The sequence below is a fragment of the Homo sapiens genome, chromosome 7 (genome assembly GCF_000001405.40).
Source record: "Homo sapiens chromosome 7, GRCh38.p14 Primary Assembly".
In the NCBI taxonomy this organism is placed as follows: Eukaryota; Metazoa; Chordata; class Mammalia; order Primates; family Hominidae; genus Homo; species Homo sapiens.
Window position 1 is genome coordinate 31,650,935 of NC_000007.14, and position 24,064 is coordinate 31,674,998.

Genomic DNA, 24,064 nt, shown 5'->3' on the forward strand with positions numbered 1-24,064 from the left:
AGCTGCCCTTCTGTTGCAGATGAGCACTGTCACTAGTTGTTTTGTGAACCCAAATATTGGGCTCTTCCTATTCCCTCCCCCTTATATTAGCAGTAGGGCCTGTTTGCGAAAAAAGGGATCCCAAATGGGAAGACAGGCTCCACCATGGTGAGCTCTTGCAGAGGATCAGAGAGGACTTTCTTCTCAGTTCTTTCTCATTGTTCTCAGTGCACAGTCCATGAGATGGAAGCCATGAAGACGATATGCCAAAGTTTCCGGGAGTATTTAGAAGAAATTGAACAGCACCTTATGGGACAGCAGGCCCTCTTTTCCAGGGACATGTCAGAGGAGGAAAGGTAATTACCTAAGGGAGCCATAAAAGTAAGTACCAGCCCACACACCTGGAGCAAGGAAGATAATCAGGGCAGAACAGAGGAGCACCCTGGAGCAGAGCTAATGAGAAACCGGCCAGCTTTTCCTTTGCTTTCTTGGTCTTGTTCTTGCTTTCTCAGTGGGAGTCTGTGAGAGCCATTTGCTAGATAGCAATACTTATTCTTGGAGAAGGTCAAAAGACAGGCAGTCAGGGGCATTGACAGCAGGATGTCTTTAATCAATGGGATGGGGCTCGTGCAAATGCAAATGTGGGAGTTATGAGAGTTTTGAAAATCTGCATTGGGGCTGGGGATGGAAATCAGGTTTAACTGTAAAGGGAGAGGCATACGGGTTTTTCTTGGGGAAATAGAAGTGTTTTAAAACTGAATAGTGGTGATGATTACACAATTTGGTAAATTTATTAAAAATTATTAAATTGTGCTCTTAAAATAGGGGAACTATATTATACTGCAATAAAGTTGTTTTTTTTTTTTAAAGAAGACAACCTTAGTAATGTCTCCAGCTGACACAAATAAAGATGACATTCTCTTTTAAGAAATTGCAAAGGAAGAACCTATATTATGAGGTGACAATGGAAGATTGCACCTGGGAAGGATTGTTAAATTTGGTTATTTTCTATTATTTACTTGCAGGGAGGAGGCCGAGCAACTGCAAACGTTACGTGAGGCCCTGAGGCAGCAGGTGGCAGAGTTGGAATTTCAGTTAGGAGACCGGGCTCAGCAAATCAGAGAAGGGATTTTACTGGTATGGGTGATGGGGTGTGGAGTTTGACTATATCCAGCCTACCACAGGAGAGGTGCATTAAATGAGAAACTTGATTGTGCAATCATTTCAGAATCTAGGTTTACATGCCAACACCTTCATTTTAAGTATACAGAGAAGTACTTTGGTTTGCTCAAGGGTACACAGCCAGCTGATGGTGATTCTGTATCAGAATTCAGTTCACCTGTCATACCAATCTTCCCCTTGCCCTGTACATCATAGAGAAGTCCTATTAGCCCATTTTCCAAATAAGAATAAGAATCACAGGCACAGTGAAGCTCATCTTTGTAGCCAATATAAGCTAAGTCACTATCAGAATCTGCTGCTGGCTCAAAGAGCCCATTCTAGAGAATCGACCACCTCATAATGCCTAGCTCACAAGTTTGAGTAAGCTGTTTGGTGCCAATGTGATGTGCTGTTTACTCTTTTTCCTCTTGTTTTCCTTTTAGCAGCTGGAGGTTCTCACAGCAGAGCCACCTGAACACTATTCAAATCTGCATCAATATAACTGGATAGAAGAAAGCAATGGGCAGACTTCATGTTCTAAAATCCACCCAGGCATGGCCCCGAGGACTGTGTTTCCTCCCGATGATGGCCAGGAGGCTCCCTGTTCAGGTGGGACCCAGTTGGCTGCCTTCACTCCACCCACCTTGGAGAACAGCACCAGGATGTCTCCTTCATCATCAGCTTGGGCAAAGTTAGGTCCAACCCCTTTGTCAAATTGTCCTGTTGGAGAAAAGGATGCAGATGTCTTCCTCTAGATCAGAGCAGGTTTGTTAACCTTCATACAAAATATAAAGGCCCAGAACAGATGTAGCAAGGAAATTTCAATTTTCCCCAAGGAGAAGGGTCTGCCAACCCATTGTCAGCTATATCTCTCATATTCTACCCTTTGGTTAAACCCAAGAGGAGTTTAGAATACTCTAATACTCATTCAGTATAGAATAACTGAGCACCTAGTATGTGCCTGGCACAGAGTATGCAACAGTGACTAAATAGTATACGGTCTCTGCCCTGCTAGAACTTACAGTGTAGTGGGGGAGATAGAATTGCAAACAAAAAGTATCTGAGACAGACCTCAGTCAATATAGAAGTTTATTTTGCCAAGGTTAAGGATACACACCCAGAAGACAGGTCTGTGCCTTTCTCCAAAGATGATTTTGAGGCCTTCAACATTTAGTGGGGAAAGGGTGCTAATGGGGAAAGAGGTGTGGGTACATAGGAGGCAAACAGTTGCATTTTTTTGAGTCTGATCAGCTTTTCTCATGAGAGAAGGGGTAGAGGAACTGTCACTTATGCATTCACCTAGCTCAGTGGATCTGCACTTTTACAGAAGGTAAAATAAACATAGGGCAGAGGAAGCAATCAGATATGCATTTGTCTCGGGGGAGCAGAGGGATGGCTTTGAGTTCTGTTCTTTGTCCTGTACCTATTAAGAGAAGCTATCAATATACTTTGTCAGGATAAAATTCAACAGAACTGTTTTAGACTAAAGATTTTAGGGACCACAAGGAATTTCCCAGTGGGCAAATTGTGAGGGAGGTATTTAGCTTTTAAAAAAATCTTTGTAGCTATCTCATTTAGAAATAAAATGGGAGGCAGATTGCCTGATGCAGCTCCTAACTTGACTTTTCCCTTTTACTTCATAATTTTGGGGTCCTGAGGTTTATTTTCCTTTCACAGAATATAAACATGTACGTACATTTATTATTAAAAACTCTGAAGGAAATAACAGGTTTTGTGAAAGAGAACACAGAAGGGAATCCGATTTAGATCAATGTTCAGACAGCCCTGGTTGAGGAAGTAACAACAGAAGAGGGAAGGAGGATCCAGGCCTCAGAGGTACCAGACTGTCCAGTCAGGCAGCCAGTGGGAGTACTGATGAAACACCTACTGTGTGCAGGCTACTATTCTAGTGCTGGAGACAGCCATAAATAAGACAGATGGACTTTCTACTCAGAAAGAGTTGGATGAAGAGTAAGTCCAAAAAAAAAAAAAAAAAAACCAACAAGCAAATAATTACAATCCTGAAAAGAGCCTCAGAAGACAGTGTGATAATGTTGCAAAGGGAGATGTGGAGTAAAACTGTACTGCATTCATCAGGGTGCCTGTGGAAGGCCTTGCTAAAGGGAAGGCTATTTGGGTAAGACTTGAAAGGTGAGGAAGTGGAAGCCAAGTGCAATTTTGCAAAAGAACATTCAAAGCAGAAGGAATGGAAAGTTAACAGGCCCCCAGATGTAGAGATAGCCAGTGCTGCTCAGTGCGGTGGGGCATGGAGATGGAGGGAGGGGAAGGCTGAGAGGGGATCGGTCAGACTATAGGCCATGACCAAGTCTTTGCATCTGAATCCTTTTTCCAAGGGTAATGGAAAGCCACTGTGGGTTTTAAGCAGGGTCGTCATATAATCTGATTTACGTTTTGAAGTCATGCTGGCTGCTTTATGGAGAAAACGCCCCTGGGGGTCTACAGTGAGGCAGAGTGCCCAGCTAGGAGGCTGTTGCTGTCATCCCCAAGGTGAGAAGCAAATGTCGTCAAGTTGCTTCTATTCAGCCTTGGAGGCTTGTGAGGCTCCCACCCCAGTGGAAATGCAGGGAATGGCACACAAAGGCCAGAGGCACTGGGTCTCTAAGGAATGGGGAATAGATGCAGAATGGAATAGGAAAAACTGCTTGGAAAAGTAATGCCATGAGGGAAGTTTATAATTTGTATGAAAAGATGGTCAAAGGAGAGGTCACTTCTTAGCAAGTAACCTCAGAAACTAATTCTATTGAAACCACCCACTACTCAAAACCATCTCACATCTTGCTTGCACTCTTCCCCTTCCTTGCTTTTTGGAAAGCCTTTGACTCAGCGGGGCCTTCCTACCCTTGGGACCACCACACTATTTTTCCCATGGACTTAACATTCTCAGAGCGTGGACATCCCCATTCTGTCCTGAATTCTCTTCTCTTTCTCCATTCCTCTGTCCTCAGTATACACACACACTCTCCAAGCATCTATGACCCTGATTCCCAGCTCTCTCCAGTATCCCAGCCCAGCATTTTTTACTGTCCATAAGACATTTTGACCTGGAAGACTTGGCTGTATGTCTCACTCTTGGCTAAAGCTGACCTGGTCATTGCCCCAACTCAGTTCATCTTCCTGATCCTCTCTGTCAGTGGCACAGCCTTTCTCCTTGCTGCAGGCTCAGTGCCACAGTGTGCATGGTCTCCTGCCCCTCTACCCTGCCCCCTCAGTCAGTCAATGACCACACCAATGCTGAGTCTACTGCCACAAAATACCTCCCAGAAGTTTCCTCAGAACGAATTACCTGGCGACAGTGCAACATAGGTGCTTCCTAACTGCCTCCAGCCACCTTCTCTCCAAACTGCACTGGCCTCTGCCAGGTTGGGCTCTCTCAGCCACCATGTGGGTCATATTTGCTGGATCTACAGTGAATACCCAGAAAGTACTTTTAGAATAAGCCAGAGAATGAGAGAGAAATCACAGGATCATACTTCCCAGAGCAGCCTTCCACCAGAAATAAAAGTCCAGGCCCTGGAGTTATTATGCGCCTCTCGTCGCCTCCCACTGCATCATCCCTTTTTGCCACATCCCCATCTTGGCTCCTATATCATGGCTCAGCTCCCAGCCAAATTGACTCCTGATGCATTGCATTTGTGCCTCCAAATCGTTTCCCTTGCTAAACTCCTAAGCTTTTTACTCTTTACCCAGGTTGGGCTTTTGACCTCCCCTTCTCCATGTAGACTCCGAGCTCTCCTGCAGTTTCTTCCTTGCTCCTTCCCTGTAACGCCTACGGAATGAAGAGGAACACCTGGCTCTAGGATGTCCCTCACCTGGCAGCCATCTGCTTTACCAGTCTCATTTCCTGCTCATCCCTCAGATGAATCTCCAATTCTATTCCCCTAAACCACCTCCTGTGTTCCTGCTTCCTCTCCTTTGCTGAAACAAATGAAGTATCTCACCAGTAAGTCCTAGGGCAGACCCCATCTCCTACACAGGCTTTCCTTGATGATCTGTGGCAGAAGTGATCCTTATTTTTTGAAACTCCTATATCACTTTGCTTTTTTGTTAAAACACTGAAAACCTCCTGTCTTGTGTTACCATTATCTGTGTAGGTCATATCTTCTCTAGTAAACTTAAAGCTATTTGAGGACTGTGTAGTACCTACTACCCTGTGTTTAAGAGAGACTATCTGGAGGAAAGTACAGACTCCTTTCTTTATCATGTGTGACCTCGGGCACTTGCTCTCTTTACCCTAGTTTCTTCCTCTGTAAAATAGGGAGAAGAAAAACAACATAGAGTTGTTGGACAGAATAAATACCATGAATCCTGTGCAGTGTTTAATCCAATGTCCATCACGTAGTAAGTGTTCAATGCATGTTGGCTATTATTACAAGTGCACATACCAAGAACTCAATAAATGCTAACTGTAATTACTGTCTTCCTTCTGTTGAAAAGAACTGTTAGCAAAGTACTTTATGCACACAGAATATTACCTACCGCTTGATGAATGAATGAGATGAGGATAAATTATCAGTCTCAGGAGACAATGAAGAGAATGAACTGACTATGGTAGAAGCACGGTTATAGGTTGTAGAAGGAACTGAGTTTAGATTGTAAAAAGGGACTTATTTGTGGACGGTTTTGACAGTCAGAAAGATGACTTCATGTGTGATGGAGGAGAGAAAAGACCATTTATTATTTTCTGATGAAGAATAGCTAATGGAATCCCCAAAGGTCTCCAAACATTTAATGGTTTACTCTCCTAATTCTCCAAAAAAGAGCATAGAAGGGAAACTAAAATGTAGAGAGGCTGCTCTATCCCACCAGGACCTTTGCTGTCTTCAGTGCATGATGAACAATGTTTGCTGATGCTGCCTCCAAATACCACCCCCGATTCTCAGGCCTTTAGGCTCAGACTGAATTATACCACTGGCTTTCCTGGTTTGTGTAATAAATGTATGTGTATACACACACACACACGCACTATATATATTATGTATCATATATATTTTATATATGATATATATAAAATATATATAAAATCATATATATCAAATATATATAATCATATATAAAATATGATATATAATATCACTCACACATACATACACGCACACTCGTTCAAAAAGACTGTAAGTTGTCTAAGCTCTGGCAACCATTAAGGGATTGAGTTGACTCTGATTTCCTGATTTGTTAAATCAATGGTTTGTCATGGCTCTGCCAAGCTTTGGGGTTTATGTGGTGCCTAACACTAGGCCCAAGTCCACCAGAGGAGTCCTGCTTCTGTCTGCGTTATACATTGAACATTAGCAGAAATTTATTTTTTAAATAAACAAAGATCTCATTGCTATAGAAAAATTTGAAAAACATTGCACTGTGCTAATTGCATCTGACGCTTGTAGTCAGGTATCGGTTCTGAGTCGCTTTCATACAAGGAGATGAGTTCCACCACATAGGAATGCTTTTAAACCACCATCCTAGCAACTCTTAGCTTAATACCACTTGCCCACTGCCAAGAATAATGGCAAGAGCCCTTCTGCAGTTCCTGAATGATTATCTGTGTAATCTTACTATTCCATTATCAAGTCCCAAGATCCTGTATTCCTTTTTTTTTGTTTTATGCATTGACCATATTCAACATGACTATATTCAGGCAAATCCAGATCACATATTTGAAAATAAATGGTATCATTGTACTAAATATTTGCAGAAAGTTAGCACAGCAAAACTTCTCATTATGAGACCAAACTCAAGTTTAGAGTCGTCTCATTTAAATGAAAATGAAAAAAAAGAAAAAGTAAAATCACACTAAGTGATTATTTTCAAATTTAGAAATCAGCCAAGGAAAAACGTGGCCTCTTCTACATTAAAGCACAGGATCCTACCCTGTATTAATTTCATTCCATCCAGATTCCATTTATTCAAAGCCAAAAGCTTTGAATAGGTAAGATCAATTTGAGAAACAATACTTGGAAACTCAAGTCACATCTTTTCCTTGATTTCGTTATGCATGAGGGAAGACCCAAGTTGCATCATGGAGACACAAAGATGAAACCTTGAGGGTTGCTCTGAACCACAGTGTATGCATAGGCCATGTAGATTTGTGTAAGGATATTCGTTTTTTAGCCCACAGAAGAACACTTCCCAGAAAAATGTTGCATTAGGTTTTGTTTATTTAACACATATTCTCTTATAGGTGAATTATTGTCTGCAGAGCTGGATCCCTTTTTTTTTTCTTCAAAAGCAAATAACTCTGCTAAAGATGAAAAAATAAAATCAAAAGACTTTCTGAAGACACAAGACTCTGGTCTGTTGTAATTGTTTTTCTTTGTTGAGAAAATAATCAGTTTCCAGAGTATAACACATGTCGAACAAAATAGAACATTTGTAAAGAGGTTAGAGTATCAAAGTGGTGCCCCTTTGAGAAGAAAAAGTTTTAGAGTGTTTTCATGTGGAATGGTGGGTTGCATACGTAATTTCAAATTGTAATTTAAAACAACAAATTGTTCATGATGTGCGAGAATTGTAGGTTATTAAAAGCCTTGTTAAATTGTTTTTCTTGAAAATTGAGAGAACAGGAACAGAAGCCAAAATATGGACGGCACCTTTCTCTAGCCCAAACTCAGCCTCTAATTGCCTGATCTTAAAACATTGGCAGATCAGAGGTTGGTATGGGATGCTTCCTCTCAGAATCTGTCCCCAATTAAGTAAAGAAAGAACCCTTCACATCAAGAATGATTTCAGATCATAAGAATCAAATTGAAGATTTTTCCTTTTTGAGTACTTTAAGAACTCAATGCCATCCAATGCTGCTAATCCCCTCCAAAACTCAGAGCCAAACCTTATCTTATTCATTCATCAGGAAAATGAAAGAAAACATTTCCTAAATGTACCAATGCTTTCTTCATTCCCATGATCATCTAGTAATTGCTTATTTGCTCAGGGCAATCTACCAGAGTCACAAGGTATCTACATTTTTCTTTTTAAAAACTGAAAGTATTTGGGGATATTTTATAACTGTGTAGTTGATAGAAGAAATAATGTTTCCAGTATTCTCTATCCCTGAAACCAAGTGTTTATATATATATTTTTTAAAGTCACTTGTTTCTACTTTGGATCATTTATATTCTTCTATGGACATGGATAGGCATTTGTCAAATGCATTGCTTTGTTAGCCGCTCCTATGAATAAAATAAATAATTTACTTATATTTTGTGTTACATGCTGTGCTGAAAGCTGTTGAGCCTTGTGAACTTCACATTGTTTTGAGGAGTACATTGACACTGATACATTGGAAGGAGAGGTTTCCTGCCTGGGGCAGCAGCAGCACTCTGATTCCTGCTCAGCCTCACTCTTTCCCTGTCTGTTCCACACAGCCCCAAACTCCACCAACCTCTCTGCTTCTTCTTCTGCCCCCAGTGGAGGCTTCAGGGCCAGATAGCGCAAGGGGTAGACTAGGCTATTTGTTCATCACTTGGTTGCTATATATGTAGACTTTTGTATTTTGTTTCAGAAAACAATTCCTTACTCTCCATTTAATCTGAATAAATGTAGAGCCATACATTTTGCTTTCTCTGAAAACTCCTTATTAAAATAGGGGTGCTCCTTGAAACTTCAGTCTCTTTTCTTGTAGTCTGATGGTCTGCTTCTGAAAAGCACTATATTGCAGGAAAATTTTGTGTGGCCTTCTGCAAAACACTCAAATCATGTAGAGCTATAGCAGAAACTTCCAACTCTATTTTATTCACCTTTTTAGCTTTCATAACATCTGATAATAACAGTACCTAGCTGATATAATTTGGCTGTGTCCCCACCCAAATCTCATCTTGAATTGTAGTTCCCATAATCCCCACATGTCACGGAGGGAACCGGTGGGAGGTAATTTAATCATGGGTGCAGTTGTCCTCATGTTGTTCTCATGATAGTGAGTTCTCATGAAATCTCATGATGGTTTTATAAGGTGCATTTCCCCCTTTTTTTTTGGCACCTCTCCTTGCTGCCGCCATGTGAAGAAGGACATGTTTGCTTCACCTTCCACCATGATTGTAAGTTTCCTGAGACCTCTCTGGTCTTGCTGAACTGTGAGTCAATTAAACTTCTTTCCTTTATAAATTACCCAATCTTGGCTATGTCTTTATTAGCAGCCTGAGAACGGACTAATACACTAGCCCACTGTCACTTTTCTATAAATGCTTATTAAAATAAATTTCTAAAAACTGCTTTTCTGTCTATAAAACAATGTTTGGGGATTTCCTTTATTTATGATCAAAGGGAAATATCTAAACATATATCTATGTAAAGCTATGGTCTACTATATCACATAACATTCCCTTTATAAAGATACATAATAGAAATTTCTTTTAAATCACTACCAAGAAAGGTTAGATTGTTCTGGAGCAAGTGATGTATTTATTCTGAAAATTGATTGTGTTCCTCTCCCATTTTTTTTTTTCTGTTTATTTTTCTGTTTTGGTTTGATTAAGGAAATCCAAGACTGTTTTGCAGCCCACTTCTGGCTACCGTACATAAAAGGAGCACAAAATTTTTTGAAGAATTATTATTTCTGACTTTATCTTATTTGTCAGCCCTTATTTTTCCATTCTTCTGATATCTTCATCTTTTTCCATCATGGTGTTTTTTATGTTCCTTTCTGTAAACCACTTCAAATCTCTTTGACAGGACATTATACAAGCCAATTAATACCACATACCTATTCATTTAAATATGAAAATACGTATCTAGAGAAAACTAACCAGCAGTATTACCATTAGAAAGTCAATCATGCAATATATATTATATATAATATACACATATGTATGTGTATATATGTGTATATACATATATGTACACACACATATATGCCTATATATAGTGTTCCAATTACAAATAAAACACTTAGAAATAATGTTGATGATAAAAAGAAATGTGATGAAGTTCCTGGTTGCAAGGGAATCGGATTTGTTGAACGGGGTAGAGATAAGCTCGAGAAAAGGTAATATCAATAAAAGCCACAAATAGAAATTACAAATTCAGTACCACAGAGAGGTATGATTGTCAAATAAGTCTATATCAGTCAGTTTGCCACATTCAGAATCTTGTTGATGAATATGATAGCCTGATGCCTATTTTGAGCATCCAATAAGCCACTGTAGTTTATATATATAAAACAATGTCAATTAGAAAGTGTGTTTCTACCTAGGATGCATGATATCATTATATCTAGGATATAATAAAGAAAATGTTAAGACATTGCAAAGCTATTGACTGCTACCTTCTGTGCTTGATTCACCTGAGAATCATTCACCCCATAGGGAAAGATAGTCTTTGGAAGAAAACTTACATAATTGGGAATATTGGGCCAGGCGCAGTGGCTCACACCTGTAATCCCAGCACTTTGGGAGCCCCAGGTGGGTGGATCACCTGAGGTCAGGAGTTCGAGACCAGCCTGGGCAACATGGTGAATCCCCATCTCTACTAATAATACAAACATTAGCCAGGCATGGTGGCACGTGCCTATAATCCCAGCTACTTGGGAGGCTGAGGTAGGAGAATCGCTTGAACCCACAACGTGGAGGTTGCAGTGAGCCGAGATCCCACCATTGCACTCTAGCCTGGGGCAACAAGAGTGAAACTCCGTCTCAAAAAATAAATATAATAATATTGGGAATATTGTTGTTTCTGTTCATTCTTCTAAGTAAAAGTCAGTACTCCCATCACACTTCCCATCTTTCTTCATTACTTCATTAATTTATTTCCCTCTGCCTACTCCCTTCAGTTCACATTCCCCGAGTCTCTCTCCTTGAATCTCTTCTTTTTCCATTTTTCCTGAGCAATCGCATTTGCACCTTTGATTCTCCAAGTGCAGATGGCTCACATATACACATATCTAACTCAGACCTCTGCTCTCCATTTCAAATGGTTATGGTTATTGGATTCATCATTTCCTTCTCTAAACCAGCTCTATGTGACCTATGCTACCTGTATCAGGTAATACTGTCATCACTTTTACTTTTGTAGGGTGCCAGTCCTTCCAGAGCTGTAGAGCTGGAAAAGTGATATTGTTCAAGGGCACCCAGACATTGCCTCTGTTTATTCACCCTGGAAGGGAATATGGTCCTGCTGGTACTAATTTTGAGTAAGGACCAGAAGAACCCAATATCCGCTAAAATGTCCTTAAATGGATATACAGAGATTTTAGTAAAGATTATTCTAAAGTGATGAGGTTACTCCTGAATAGAAAAAAGTGAAATGAAGCAAAAATTTGGCGGATTCTCAGATCTGGAAGACTCTACTCTCCACAGACAGAATCATCTCTAACTGTGTGTCCCACCAAGAATCTCAGTGCCTGGAAAAAAATCCCGGTAGGCTGTATTTGTTCCCACCTGAGTGGGCACTGCACTTTCAATAAGATTTTGGAACCTGGGCCAGTTAGGAACTCATAGTGTTTTTGTGTCTAAGTGTGTGTATGTGTCTGTGTTGTATAAGTGTATGTGTCTGTGTTGTATAAGTGTCTGTGTCTGTGTTGTGTAGACGTATGTGACTGTGTTTGACTCTGTGCATGTATGTGTGCTGGATTTTGTCCTGTAAATGTGTAAATAATCTAAAATGCTAGTTACCTTATCCAGAATTCCAAGAATTATCTTTGAATCCTTCCACAGTTGGTAAGAAAATTATATAAAACCCTCAGTTCACTTCCCATTCCTACTTCTACTGCCTTGATTCTGCCCTTTTTATCTCACAGCTAGATGATTTCCAAATTCCTCTAGGTGATTTCTTTTCTCTAATATTTATCCCTCTGATCCATATTTATACCAAAACAACCAAAAATCTGATTGTGCTGTTCTCTAATTTAAAAGTCTTCAAAGAGTTCTTACTGCATGCAGGATGTAGTCTTAACTCTTCCTTGTCCTACAAAGCCCCATGATCCCACCCCTATCTGGCTTTATCCCATCCAAATTCCTTTTCAAACCCTGTATGCCACTTATAACTCCCGGTGCTGGACACTGCTGTGCCTTCTCAGTCCTCTATCCAGCTATTACCCGTCTGTGAATCCTCTTCATACTCTGATTCTCATGGGCTCCTTTTCCTGGCTCTGGCTAGAAAACTGTGGCTTTGGATTCCCTGCATTGTCATGAACTTCCTGCAGTTGGGTCTACCTCAGGGAAAAGTGGGCAAGACAAAAGAGTCTACAGAGCCTCTACTGCTGTAGCTGCTATCCCCAATTCCGCCACCACTGCTGCTGCTCTTGCCACCGCGTTGTAATGCCATTCGTTACCAGTACATGTCAGGAGTAGGACTGTGATAGGCAAAAGATTTCTGCTTTCCAGGGGCTCCTTTCCCAGTCCTCTGGCCCAAGAGAGAGAGTTTATCTTGCAGTTTTTTCTGTTAACAGCTTTTGCACAGTTTCAAGATTCAGACTGCTCTTGATTTTATGCCGGAAAATATCGGAGGATATAAAAAAGCAGGAACTTTTTTCCATAGTTGTTTTTCTTTGAGTTTTTAAATTCTCTCCTCCAGTTGACCTGCTATTATTTACTTTTCAGAGTTCTCAGCTTCATATATTCTGTTCAGGACTTTTAATTGTGCTTAGTGGAAAACATAGCATGTATTTATGCCATCTTAACCAGAAATGAAATTTGCCAACCTAATTGTATTTAATATTCTCTTATTATAGTGAAAACTGCTGACACTTGCTTACCATGTGCTAATACTGTGCTAAGTTCTTTATATGCATAATTTACATACCGTGTTTGGGAAATTTTCAACCATTATTTCTTCAAATACATTTCTGCACGTATTTCATTCTCTTCTTTTTCCAGGATTACAGTAGCTCAAATATAATAACTTCTGATATTGCCCCACAGTTCTTTGAGTCTCTGTTCATTTTCTTATCAAACTTTTTAGAATAACAAATATTTCTGGTAAATAGGATCATCCCCATTTTAAAGATGAGGAAACAGAAGCTTACAGAGATTAAGTGATTTGCTCAGTGTCACACAACTAGAAAACCAGGTATGATCCCAGGTTTGTCTAACTCCAGAACCAAACTCTGAACCACTGTCCAGTATAACCATGGCCAGCTCTGTCATGCAGCCCAAGTTAGGCCAGAGCCACAGACATTCCAATTACAGGTGAGGAGTAGGCAGCAGTCTGCTCTGAAACCCATGTTTTTCTAGCTTTCAGCATTGATTAGGTCAAGTTGAAAGATGTACTTACGCACAGAGCCAGTTGAGATTTAATATTGCTTTGTGTTATTTATTGGGCAGGTGTTTGTTTAAAGGAAGTGGAAACAGGTGTGTGGGCCCTGATTCAATTACATGATGGAGGGGGACACACTGATCCATGGCCATTTTCAAGGAGAGATGATGATTGTGCTAATTAATCATTTGTCTGTCAGAACAAAATAGAACATAATAGAAAATGATGTTCCAGTTGCCATAAGAATGGGACACAGACTCACATGTCTGGCTCTCCCAACAACCAGATGCAACTGTTTATGATGACGACAATTAAGATGCAGTACCTGAATCCTCCTGGATTATCACATCTGAGATGGCTTGAAGGAAATTTGCTTTATAAACTTTTGCCAACGGCACAGAACCTCATCCAACAGGAATAGCCTCTCAAAGCAACCTTTCCCTTCAAAGAGATTAATTGAGTCTTTTCAGATCATGAGGATATCCCTGACAAATGGCTGGAAGGGACATTTTCCATTCTATGTCTTGGGAAACTCAATTTACCTCACCTGATCAAGACATCCATGCTCATAATGTAGTATCATAATAATAGTTAACTCATTCTTTCCTTTATCCACTTGCCACTCAACAGCCAGAGTGGCCTTTTATAAACATAAATCAGGTACATTGGCCACCTACTTAAGAATCTCCAAAGGCTCTTCAGTACATTTAAAATGGAATCTCCACTCCTTACCAAAATCTGCAAAGTGTTACATGACCTGACCTTGCATAGCTCTCTGACCTAATTTCATACCATTTCCTTCCTCCTTCCTCTCTCACTATGTTGCAACATCATGACTTCATGGGTCTTCTTGCTATTTTCTGAATGCATTAAAGCTCATTCTCCTGCCAGGGGCTTTTCCCTCTTTGCATTTGCTTTTCTACTTTTCCCAGATATTCACATTGCTGGTATCTTCTCATTCAGATCTCTGTTCAAATGTCACCTCTTCAAAAAGACTTCATTGACAATTATATCCAAAACGAGGCTCTTCCTACACACATCTCTGCACAGTCTATATCCATTGATCCTATTTTGTTTCTTTCATAGCATGTATTATTTTTATTTCTTTATTAGCTGTCTCTCCTACTGAAATGTCAGCCTTATGGAAGAGAAACTTGTCTCTCTTCTTTCCACATTTTATCCCCAGGCCTAAATCACTTCCTGGTACATAGTAAGTTCACAAAAGATTTCATAAGATACTTAATTAATATTAATCAATCAATATATTAACACTAATAAGCAATCTCTATGCACAAACAAGGCAGTTTAATCCAACAAGGAATTTTTAGTTTGGGGAGGAAAACTATGTCCTCTTCTGCTAGTAGTTCCTGCACTTTACCAAAATTAGTTTGATCTCTCCTGTTGCAAACTGGACTTCTGGGCATCCAGTCATACTTCTTCTACCCTTTTGGCGAATAGCTCAGATAGGGGCAAGTTCTTAGGGGAAGGCCCTCAGGGAAACTTCTAAAAGGAACAAACTCCCACTCAAGAAGCTCTTTCCTTTGATGTATATAGATAATATATACTTTGAATCCCAGGGGGTTGAACATTAGGAAAAGTTGATGTTGATTAGTAGTTTACCTCTGTGCAGGACTCAGGCAAATTGGAGCAGGCCCAGATAAGATTCCTTCCCTGCCACCTGCACTATTGTTTCTGGTGGAAAAACCTAAAGATTAGGGAGAAATCACTTTAGCTGGGTACCCCGTTTTTGTTGTTAGAAACTTCTTTGTCCCAAGACCAGGGAGCTGCTTTATAAATTCACATCAGGGTCATCTGATGCTTCAGTGGAAAGTACACTTGCTTGACTTGCTATTGGTTAGAGCCAAGGGATTTAACAACTCTGTAAAGTTGGATGTTAGCTGTAGAAACCTGATAAAATACAAATGACTTTTTATCTAATCACAAATGCAAATAATATTAATCCAATGAAGAAAACTGAAAAAGTTAAGGTATACTTTATTGGCCTATGAGAAATTAACCGGTCTTTTGTAAAGCAGCAATTTTATCAAACATTTGTCTTTCACTCATCATATAAGCAAACCTTTCTCATACCGTCCTTTAAATTAGATTTATTATCTTGCTAGTTCCCTCATTAATGAGTTTAGTAACATTTGTACAATTATTATGTATTTAAATGAAGTTATTTTCTAAAATCACTTTGAAAATTATACATTTTACACAATTAACTTAATACTGTAATTTGTATGAATAGGTTTGATTATACTAAAAGGAAAATAAATTTGGGATGTAAATCTGCTTGGTTTCTTAGGAAGGAAATCAGTTGCTTTTTAAAGTCAGGTTATTGAGGTATAAGTCACATACAGTAAATTCATCCTTTATGGTGTAGAGTTCTATGAATTTTGACAAATACATTTAGTCATATACCATCACCACAAAGCAAGATATAGAATATTCCTATCACCCCAAATGTCCCCTTATGCCCCTTTTTGTTGTCAATACTCAGTTTTAAATCCAGCCCCCCATTTTTTTTTGTCCTGTATATTTTGAATACAAGTTCTTTACCAGATGTATGTTGTTTACCAAATATTTTCTCCAAGCACATAGACTGTCATTTAACAGTGTCTTTTAAAGAGAAACTGTCATGACAAAAGTCCAGCAGTGGGTTGTAAGGCTCTAGGCATAAGGGCTAGGGTTGCAGTAGGTGCCATTCATTGAAACAACAGAGAAGGAAAGACCCCTGTTCTATTAGGGATAGGAGACATGAAGTCGGGATGTGGGCTAAGCATTAGGGACATGGATACGGGGCAGGGGTCTCAGGTGGAAGCTAGTTACAGGAGTAAGCTGAGGTGACAGAAGATGGGGGCACAAGGGTGGTCATACTAGAAGCAGATGGTGACTGATGTCCGGCTGACCTACCCGCCTATAGCTTTTGGAATACCCCTTTCTTGTGATTGACTAGGTTCAGGCCCAGAATCTGAGGTGACAGTGAATCTTTGGGAAGGAGTCTTTAACCCTAGCTTAAGAAAATTAGGAGGACTCCACCCTGTGGAATTCCACAGACTATCAAAGGTAGAGTCATTATCCTGTGTGACTGTGCATTTCAAGGAACTTCTCCTAAACTTGCTTTGATAATTATATGTTGCTTTGCTAATTTGGATGAAGAACAACATAGTCAGAATATAGTTTAAATACAGTGAAACCATATTTACTGGTTTATTCACTAAATAGCTATTGACGCCCGTGCTATGCTGGGCACCGTCGTAGGGGTAGGGTCACAACAGGCAAAACAAGGGAGATAGGCCTTGCTTTCATATGGTTCACATTCTAGTGATGGAGGGCAGTGTATGAATAGACAAGTAAACAAATATGAAAAAAAAAGAAATTTCAAATAATGGTGAAGTGCTTTTATGTAATCAGTAGACAATAGGATCATGATGGTAGGGGTCATATTGTACTGGCTCATCGAGGTAGGATGGCTCTGTCATTGGGGTTGTAAGTTGAAACATGACTGAGGCAGGTCTCAATCAATAGAGGTTTGTTTAGCTGAGGTGGAGGATGAATCTGGGAAAAAAAAATTCAAGCCACAGGAGGATCTGTGACCAGTGCTTTTTCCAAAGTGGATTTGGGGAACTTCAGTATTCAAAGGGCAAGCAGGAGGGGAAAATAAAAGGAGAGGGAGGATAGGCAATGAGGAAGATGGTTACTTTCTTGTGAGGCTCTGATTAGCCTCAGTAAATCTGCATTTTTACATGTGAAAAGAGGGACTAGGGAAAAACTGGACTATGTATTATCCCTGCTCAGTAAATCTACATTTTACATAAGACAAAGTAAACATGTGAAAAGAGGGAATAGAGGAAATTAGGCTTTTGTGTGACTTTATTATAAGTCCAAAAAGATATTAACAAGTATTGGTGAGGGTGTAGCAAAATTGGAACCCTCTTACATTGCTATTGGGAAAGTAAAGTGGTTGTAGCCACTTTAGAAAATAATTTGTCAGTTGCTCAAGATGCTAAGCATAGAGTTGCCATTTGACCCAGCAATTCCACTTCTGTCTACCCAAGAAAATAAATATGTATGTTCACACAAAGACATGTACATGAATGTTCACAGAAGCAATACTCATAATAATCAAAGAGTAGAAATAACATCACAAATTTTCATCAACTGATGAATGGATAAACAAGATGCAGTCTATCCACGCAAAGGAGTATTCTTCAGCAATAAAAAAAAAAGGAAATACTGATATCTACTACAACAATGTGGATAAACCTCATAAACATACTGAGTAAACGAAACCAGCCACAAAAATTCATGTATCTTATGATCCCATTTATGTAAAATGTTCAGAATAGTCAAATTAATAGAGACAGAAAGTGGCTTAGCGGTTGTCTACGGCTGGAGAATGGGAAGGGAGAATGGGAGTGACTGTGACTGGATAGGAGGTTTCTTTGGGGGATGATGAAAATATTATGAATTAGATTATGGTGATGGTTGCACAATTCTGTAACTATACTAAAAACCAGTACATTGTTCCCTTTAATTGTATTGTTTATAAATTATATCTCAATGAACTACTAAAAAAAAATAAGATCAACATGCAAATACCTGAGGGGCAAGGAGTTTCCAGAGAGGGAACTGCAAGTCTGAGCACCTGAGGTGGGAATGAATTTGCTTTATTTTTGGAACAGAGAGGATGTCAGTAAGGCTGAAGTTAGTTGAGGAAGGAGAAGGAAGTAGGGGCCAGTTCAGCCTGGGTCTGTTAAGGCATGGCCGGGAGTTTGGATTCTATTTTGAATGTAATGAGAAGTCACTGGAGAGTTTGTAAGATAGTGACATGATGTGACGCATTTTAAGAGTAGTCTGGCTACCTTGTTGGTATTGACTCTGGGGGCATGAAAGGATGCAGTAAGACCAGCCAGTAGCCATTGTAGCAATTTGGGTAAGACTCAGAAATGCTGTAGATTTTTTTTCTTCTCTTTTTTCTTTTTCATAAGCAAAAAGCAAGGTCACCTTATATTTAGTAGAACAGTTCTCGTGAGCCATCCCAGGACAAGACACTAGCCAAAATATTTGACCCACTGTTAATCTTTACTACCCTAAACAAGATATACAAAAAATAATCTGTTAATAATGAAAAGTTTAAGCTACTCTTATATAATTTGTATTTATAAAGGAAGTATTATCCCAGTTTAGTATCTAAATTCACTTTTCCCTTCAAAAAGCACTGTCAAGGTAAAATATGGGCCACTTTTTGTGTCTCTGACAACTCTTTCCACACTAATTCCCTAGCTCACAGCAACAAAATGGGTTTTCTTCATCATAAACTACATTCATCAGTTCTAAATTTGGAACAGGAACAATAAGGCAGAAAAATAGAATTTACATCAGACTCTTCTTCTTGCCCAAGGGGTTATTTGCTTTGTGCAAACTAAAGTGGGTGGCAGAGAATAGGTAGGCTTTGTTAGACCATTACTCATGTAATAAGATTTGAGGTCTGCTTTTCAACACAATTTTCAATGGGCACTTTCCCCATGGCTAAATTGCTGCCTACAGACATTTTGATTATCAAATATAATTTAAAAGTAAAAAAGGACAAAATACCCCTTATTTTCTCTAACCCCTACCCTTTGAGTTTGTCAGTTTATCTAACAGAGAGGAGGTTTGCATATCAGGGAAATGTGTTCAACCTTGGAATGTCTGACTCTCATCTAGGACTCCTCCAGCCTTCCTTCCATCCCGTGACAGGTCCCAAGGTATCTCTCCAGATGCCCCAGATATTTCTATGTCAGGAGCCAATCAACCTTGAAAGTATGAAGTGATTTGACACCTTGTCTTTCAGTCAGCCCCAAACATTCATATACAGGCTGAGTATCCCTTATCTGAAATACCTGGGACCAGAAGTATTGCAGATTTTTTGTTTGTTTGGATTTGGGAACATTTGCCAGTTGAGAATCCCTCATGTGAAAATCCGAAACCTGAAGTCCTCCAATGAGCATGTCCTTTGACCACCATTCTGGTGCTGAAAAAGTTTGGGATTTTGGAGCATTTGGGATTTTAGACTTTCAAATTGGAGTTGCTCAAACTGCACCACATGTTCATTTCTCTATAAAATTGAGCCATCCCCCCTGCACTGGTTACAGATCCTGTTAATCAATTATAAATCTGCTCCTGTCTCAGTGCGATTTTCTTCCAGGTTCTACCCTTCATAATCCTTTGCATCTCCTTGTGAAGTTTGTTATGCCCCTAACCCCTTTAAATGTTAATTCTTGTCCCAATTATAGCTTGGATTCTAAAAAGGTTGAAGTATGCATTAAAGTAGATTTGCAGGTAGCTTTAGAACTTTAAGCTCAAGTCCTGTCTCTAAACTGGTATGACACTGTCTTACTGATAGAGACAGGAGGCAGGCAAATTCTGGGCAGAAGAGAGCAGGTTCCTGGCAAGGTCCCCACCCCTCAAGCCTGGAACCGCAGCCCAAAGTGAGAACATAACATTCCTATTTTCCCACTTGAATGTTGCCTTTTCCAAAACCACCCATGGCCCACCTGGTCTCCCATCCTGTGCCCATAAAAACCACAGGATCCACTGGCAGCAGAGAGGAGAAGCAGCTGGAGGTCGGAGACTATGGTTGAATGTCAGAGAGGAGCAGCTTGAGTTCAGAGGGACAGCTTGATGGGATAGCTTTGAAGAGAAGTCTGGCTGGGTACAGCCAGATTCTGGGGAAAGATTACCTTTCCACTCCATCCCCTTTCCAGCTCCCTTTCCCACTGAGATCCACTTTCACTGGCAATAAAATCCCCCACATTTGCCATCTCCAATTTGTTCATGCGACCTAATTCCTCCTGGACAGTGGACAAGAACTTGAGTGCAGCCGCAAAAGGCTGCCACACTGACCCTTCACTGAGCTGTTAACACTTAAGCCATCCATGGACAGCAAAACTGAAGGAGCACTGACTATAACACTCCTTCTGGGACTTCAGGGGTTGCAGGCACCTCCGTAGATTCTGCCACGGGGCCAGCATGGATTCGTTCCTGATGGCACCCAAAAGTGCTCACCCTGGCTCCTGCACCTGCTCATCTATGTGCTCCCTCCTACAAGGGGTTGAGTGCAGCAAGTTTGAGTGCCTTTGCCTGTGTACTCCAGTTCCCACCTGCAAAGGGGTCAGGGAGATTTCCTGCTTCATTACCACCTGTTTCCAAGTAACATTGTATCTCACTGTGATCACTCATTGCTTTATGCCATGGTAGTAGCCTGATAGGTCCACTAGCTCTCAGCTGTCAGTCACCTGCTATGCACGACCCACCCCACCACACCCCTCCAAACTGGGTACACTGGAATGTCTGGCTATCTTCTACACTATGCTCAGGCTAGGGGGAGTCATGGGACCCTGTCTCAGGCCCTCTCCACCTAAGTCCACCATGCTGGCATTCCTGCTGTGCCCACTCCACATAGCCACAAGACACTTTGCTAGATGGTCAACCAGTATCTCATATGGAAAGCAACCTATAAATTCCCTGAGCTCTGGGATTGTCAAATCTCTCAGGGAAATCCCAGAGATCTAATAGAACACCGGAACCAGGGCACAAAGCCCACAATAAAATGAGATTAATTTTTCCTCCTCTCTCACCTAGCTTTTCCTGCCCATAGCCCCACAAGGTCTTTTGTACTTGTGTGATGGAAATGTCCCTTCTGGCATAACTTCTATTCTTTCAGGCTTCGATGATTGATTCCTGATTTGTGAAAACCCCATTTGGGAATTTTCTAGAAAAGTATTATTTTTCTTTCCTAAAGCCCTGTTTTTATGATTTTTGTCTTGATAGGGACTTTAAAATGCTCAAAGCTGAACTGTGACTTTTTTGTTCTCAGCACTGTCCATCTTCCCCTTTCCTGGAGCAAAAAGTCTCAGACTCTCGGCCAAGTCTGAATGTCAGAAAAACTGCTTGGCAAGACGGATGGAAGTACACTTCACCAAAAAGAGAAAATACATCATATGATTTTTCAAAACGTTATTATGGATGTTGTTTCATGGCTGTATTATATTCTTATAAATTGTGTTCCTATCCTGCTAATTCCCCATATTGATATATAGATAACTTCTCCTGTTACTAAAATATCACCTCTCAATATACACATAAAAGAAAACTTCACCAACAACAACCTTACTCCATACCCTCTCCATAGTAAGTCATTATCATTTATTTAAATCTTTGCTAATCTGATCAATTTGTTTTGCATTTATCTGAATGGTAATGAGGTTATACATTTTTGACCTTCTCTGATTTCTTTTTTTTCTTTTTCCTTTTTTATTTTTTAATTGTATATTCAAATTATTTGCCTATTTTTCTATTAAGTACATTTTGGGGAGTGTAGAAATAAATAAAGACCATTCAAATGAAAAGAAGCTGAGACCATCCATTCAGAGCTTGCCATAGCAAGTCCATCAGCCATCATCACTCCTCTTTGTCAGAGACTCAAGGGCAGTAAACGGAATGGGAAAGCTTTATAGTGAGGGTGATATGGTTTGGCTCTGTGTCCCCACCCAAATCTCATCTCAAATTATAATTCCCATGTGTCGATGGAGAGACCTGGTGGGAAGCAACTGGATCATAGGGGAGCATTTTCCCCTTGCTGTTCTTGTGATACTGAGTGAGTTTTTATGATATCTGGTTGTTTGATAAGTGTCTTGTGCCTCCCCCTTCTTCCTTTCTCCTGCTTCCCTGTGAACAAAGTGCCTGCTTTCCCTTTGCCTTGCACCATGAATGTAAGTTTCCTGAGGCCTCCTCTGCCACATGGAACTGTGAGTCAACTAAACCTCTTTCCTTCCTAAATTATCCAGTCTCAGGTATTTCTTTATAGCAGTGTGAAAATGGACTAATACAGTGGGGAAAAAAAGAAGCTTTCAGGTATGCCCTAATTGGAAACTGTTGGCATAGGGAAGCTGGAGGCTGACTAACTACAAGGAGGGGATTTTATATGATTTATAGATGAAGATTCTGTTTGATTTATGAAGTTGAAAGTGTAATTAGAGAAGCTGACAGGACCAAGTCCTTACCATTTGGGCCAAGTTCAATTGTTGCAGAAGTTGAGGGTCAGAATTCTTTTTATATGTGGTCTGGCCATTGTCTGTTTCTATTTTCAGTCTCTTAGAAGGGGAAAGATGTGTGTGTCTCTCTCTCTTTAATATTTAAGATATTAAGTATAGATTAAGGGGATTCTATATTTGTTATGTACATTGCAAACTGATCCTAAGTTTTAAATTTTTCTCATGTGTTTTAAAATTTTATAGAAACTATCATTTTTATGACCTCTATTTCTTTTTTACATTCAAAGATTTAAAATATTCACCTATATTTTCTTGTGGTAATTTTATGGTGCTACTTTTTTCTTTACATTGCCTATTTTAACCTATCTGGAATTTATGCTGGTATAAGGTAGAAACTAGTTTTTTTTTTTTTAATCCAAATTGATATTCAGTTGTCTCAACATCACTGATTGGTAAACATATTCATTCCCTAGCAAGGGATTTTCCAGTAAGAGTTTTGATTTTGATGAAATTATAATATCAGAGCGTGAATTTTAATTAAACTCTAAACTGATAAAATGCCTTTCAGATCCTTAAATGATCGGAGTCCAACTGGGGAAGGGCAGGTAGTAAACATCATCATGGGTAGCGAAAAGAAAATTCAGAAAAACTTGCTGGGGCATGCATTTCATTCACAAAAGCTTACTATGTGTGTATTTTTTTGTCTTAAATGTACAGTAAATTGCACAAATCTTAAATGAACCATTCAGTGACTTTGCACAAATGCATACACCTGTGCAACTTAAACTATCAAGATATGGAACATTACAGTCACCTTAGAAGTTCTTTCATGTTCTTTCCTAATCAGCCCCTGCCCACTCTACAGAGGCAATCACTGTTCTGATTTTTTTCATCATCATACATTAGCTTTGTCTGTTGTCATCTACAAACTGCTTTGAAATGCTTGAAAAATAGTATGCTTTGATGGAAGGATAGAAGAATGAATAGAGAGATAGTTATGCAATAAAGAAAGTACATATAATGCCATGATAAAACCTGAGTAGTAGGTATTTGAGTATTTCCTGTAAAATGCTTTCGACTTTTCTATATGCTTGGAAATTTACATAACGAAATGTTAGAAATGAGAAAAGAAAAGAAAAATTCCAATGAAGAGCTAAAACACTTCTGAAGAAGATCATGATCAGGGAATATATCTTGCTAGATATCAATAAAGATATAAAGATATATAAATCCATGCAATGTGTTGATATAGAGATAGAAAAATTGGACAATGGAACAGAATAGAGAACACAGAAATAGACCCACACGTATGCAGAAACTTTACTTATAACAGAAAGAGCACTGCAGATCAGTGGGGAAAGAATGGACTCTTTAAGAAATGATACTTGTACAATTAGTTGTCTACATGGAAAAATAAAATAAAATAATATTCTTTTCTAACAGTGTAATGCCAAATGACTTAAATACTTAAATGGGAGGGCAAATCTGTGAAAGTTTTAGAAGATGTGCTAGATGTAGTTGACTGATGTTCAGAATCCATTTCCACTTTCTTCTGATATGTGTCACAAAAGATCAAAAATCTCAAAACTCAAACAAACAAACAAAATCCCAACTTCCCAGCAGCTAAGGATGTTGATACAAATTAGATCTCATCTTTTAGGTATACTCACATGGGATTTAGAAGG

General features: G+C 39.5%; 2 protein-coding genes across 16 annotated transcripts in view, besides 1 other annotated feature; one reads left to right on the forward strand and one right to left on the reverse strand.

Annotated features, from left to right (window-relative positions):
• Positions 1 to 7,786, forward strand: part of ITPRID1 (ITPR interacting domain containing 1) — a 144,631-nt gene extending 136,845 nt beyond the window's left edge. For 6 of the 8 annotated variants that reach the window (NR_047565.3, XM_011515213.3, XM_017011871.3 and 3 more), the window contains 3 exons: positions 208 to 335; positions 1,005 to 1,116; positions 1,584 to 5,570. Coding sequence is in view for 7 of the 8 variants with exons in the window: in XM_011515213.3 (XP_011513515.1) it covers positions 208 to 335; positions 1,005 to 1,116; positions 1,584 to 1,895 (552 nt within the window). In the remaining variant the exon portion in view is untranslated. Of the gene's footprint in view, positions 1 to 207; positions 336 to 1,004; positions 1,117 to 1,583; positions 5,571 to 7,336 lie in introns of those variants that run through there. The other 2 variants (NM_001257968.3, XM_017011872.3) reach the window with 2 other exon arrangements.
• PDE1C (phosphodiesterase 1C) overlaps positions 1 to 24,064 on the reverse strand; it is an 811,448-nt gene that overhangs the window by 34,158 nt on the left and 753,226 nt on the right. The window lies entirely within an intron of this gene.
• Positions 253 to 811: an enhancer, noted in NCBI's record as "OCT4-NANOG hESC enhancer chr7:31690801-31691359 (GRCh37/hg19 assembly coordinates)". NCBI's record gives its function as "activates a minimal SCP1, AML or CMV promoter by ChIP-STARR-seq in primed H9 embryonic stem cells {active_cell/tissue: H9 hESC(primed)}" and the evidence as "EXISTENCE:reporter gene assay evidence [ECO:0000049][PMID:30033119]".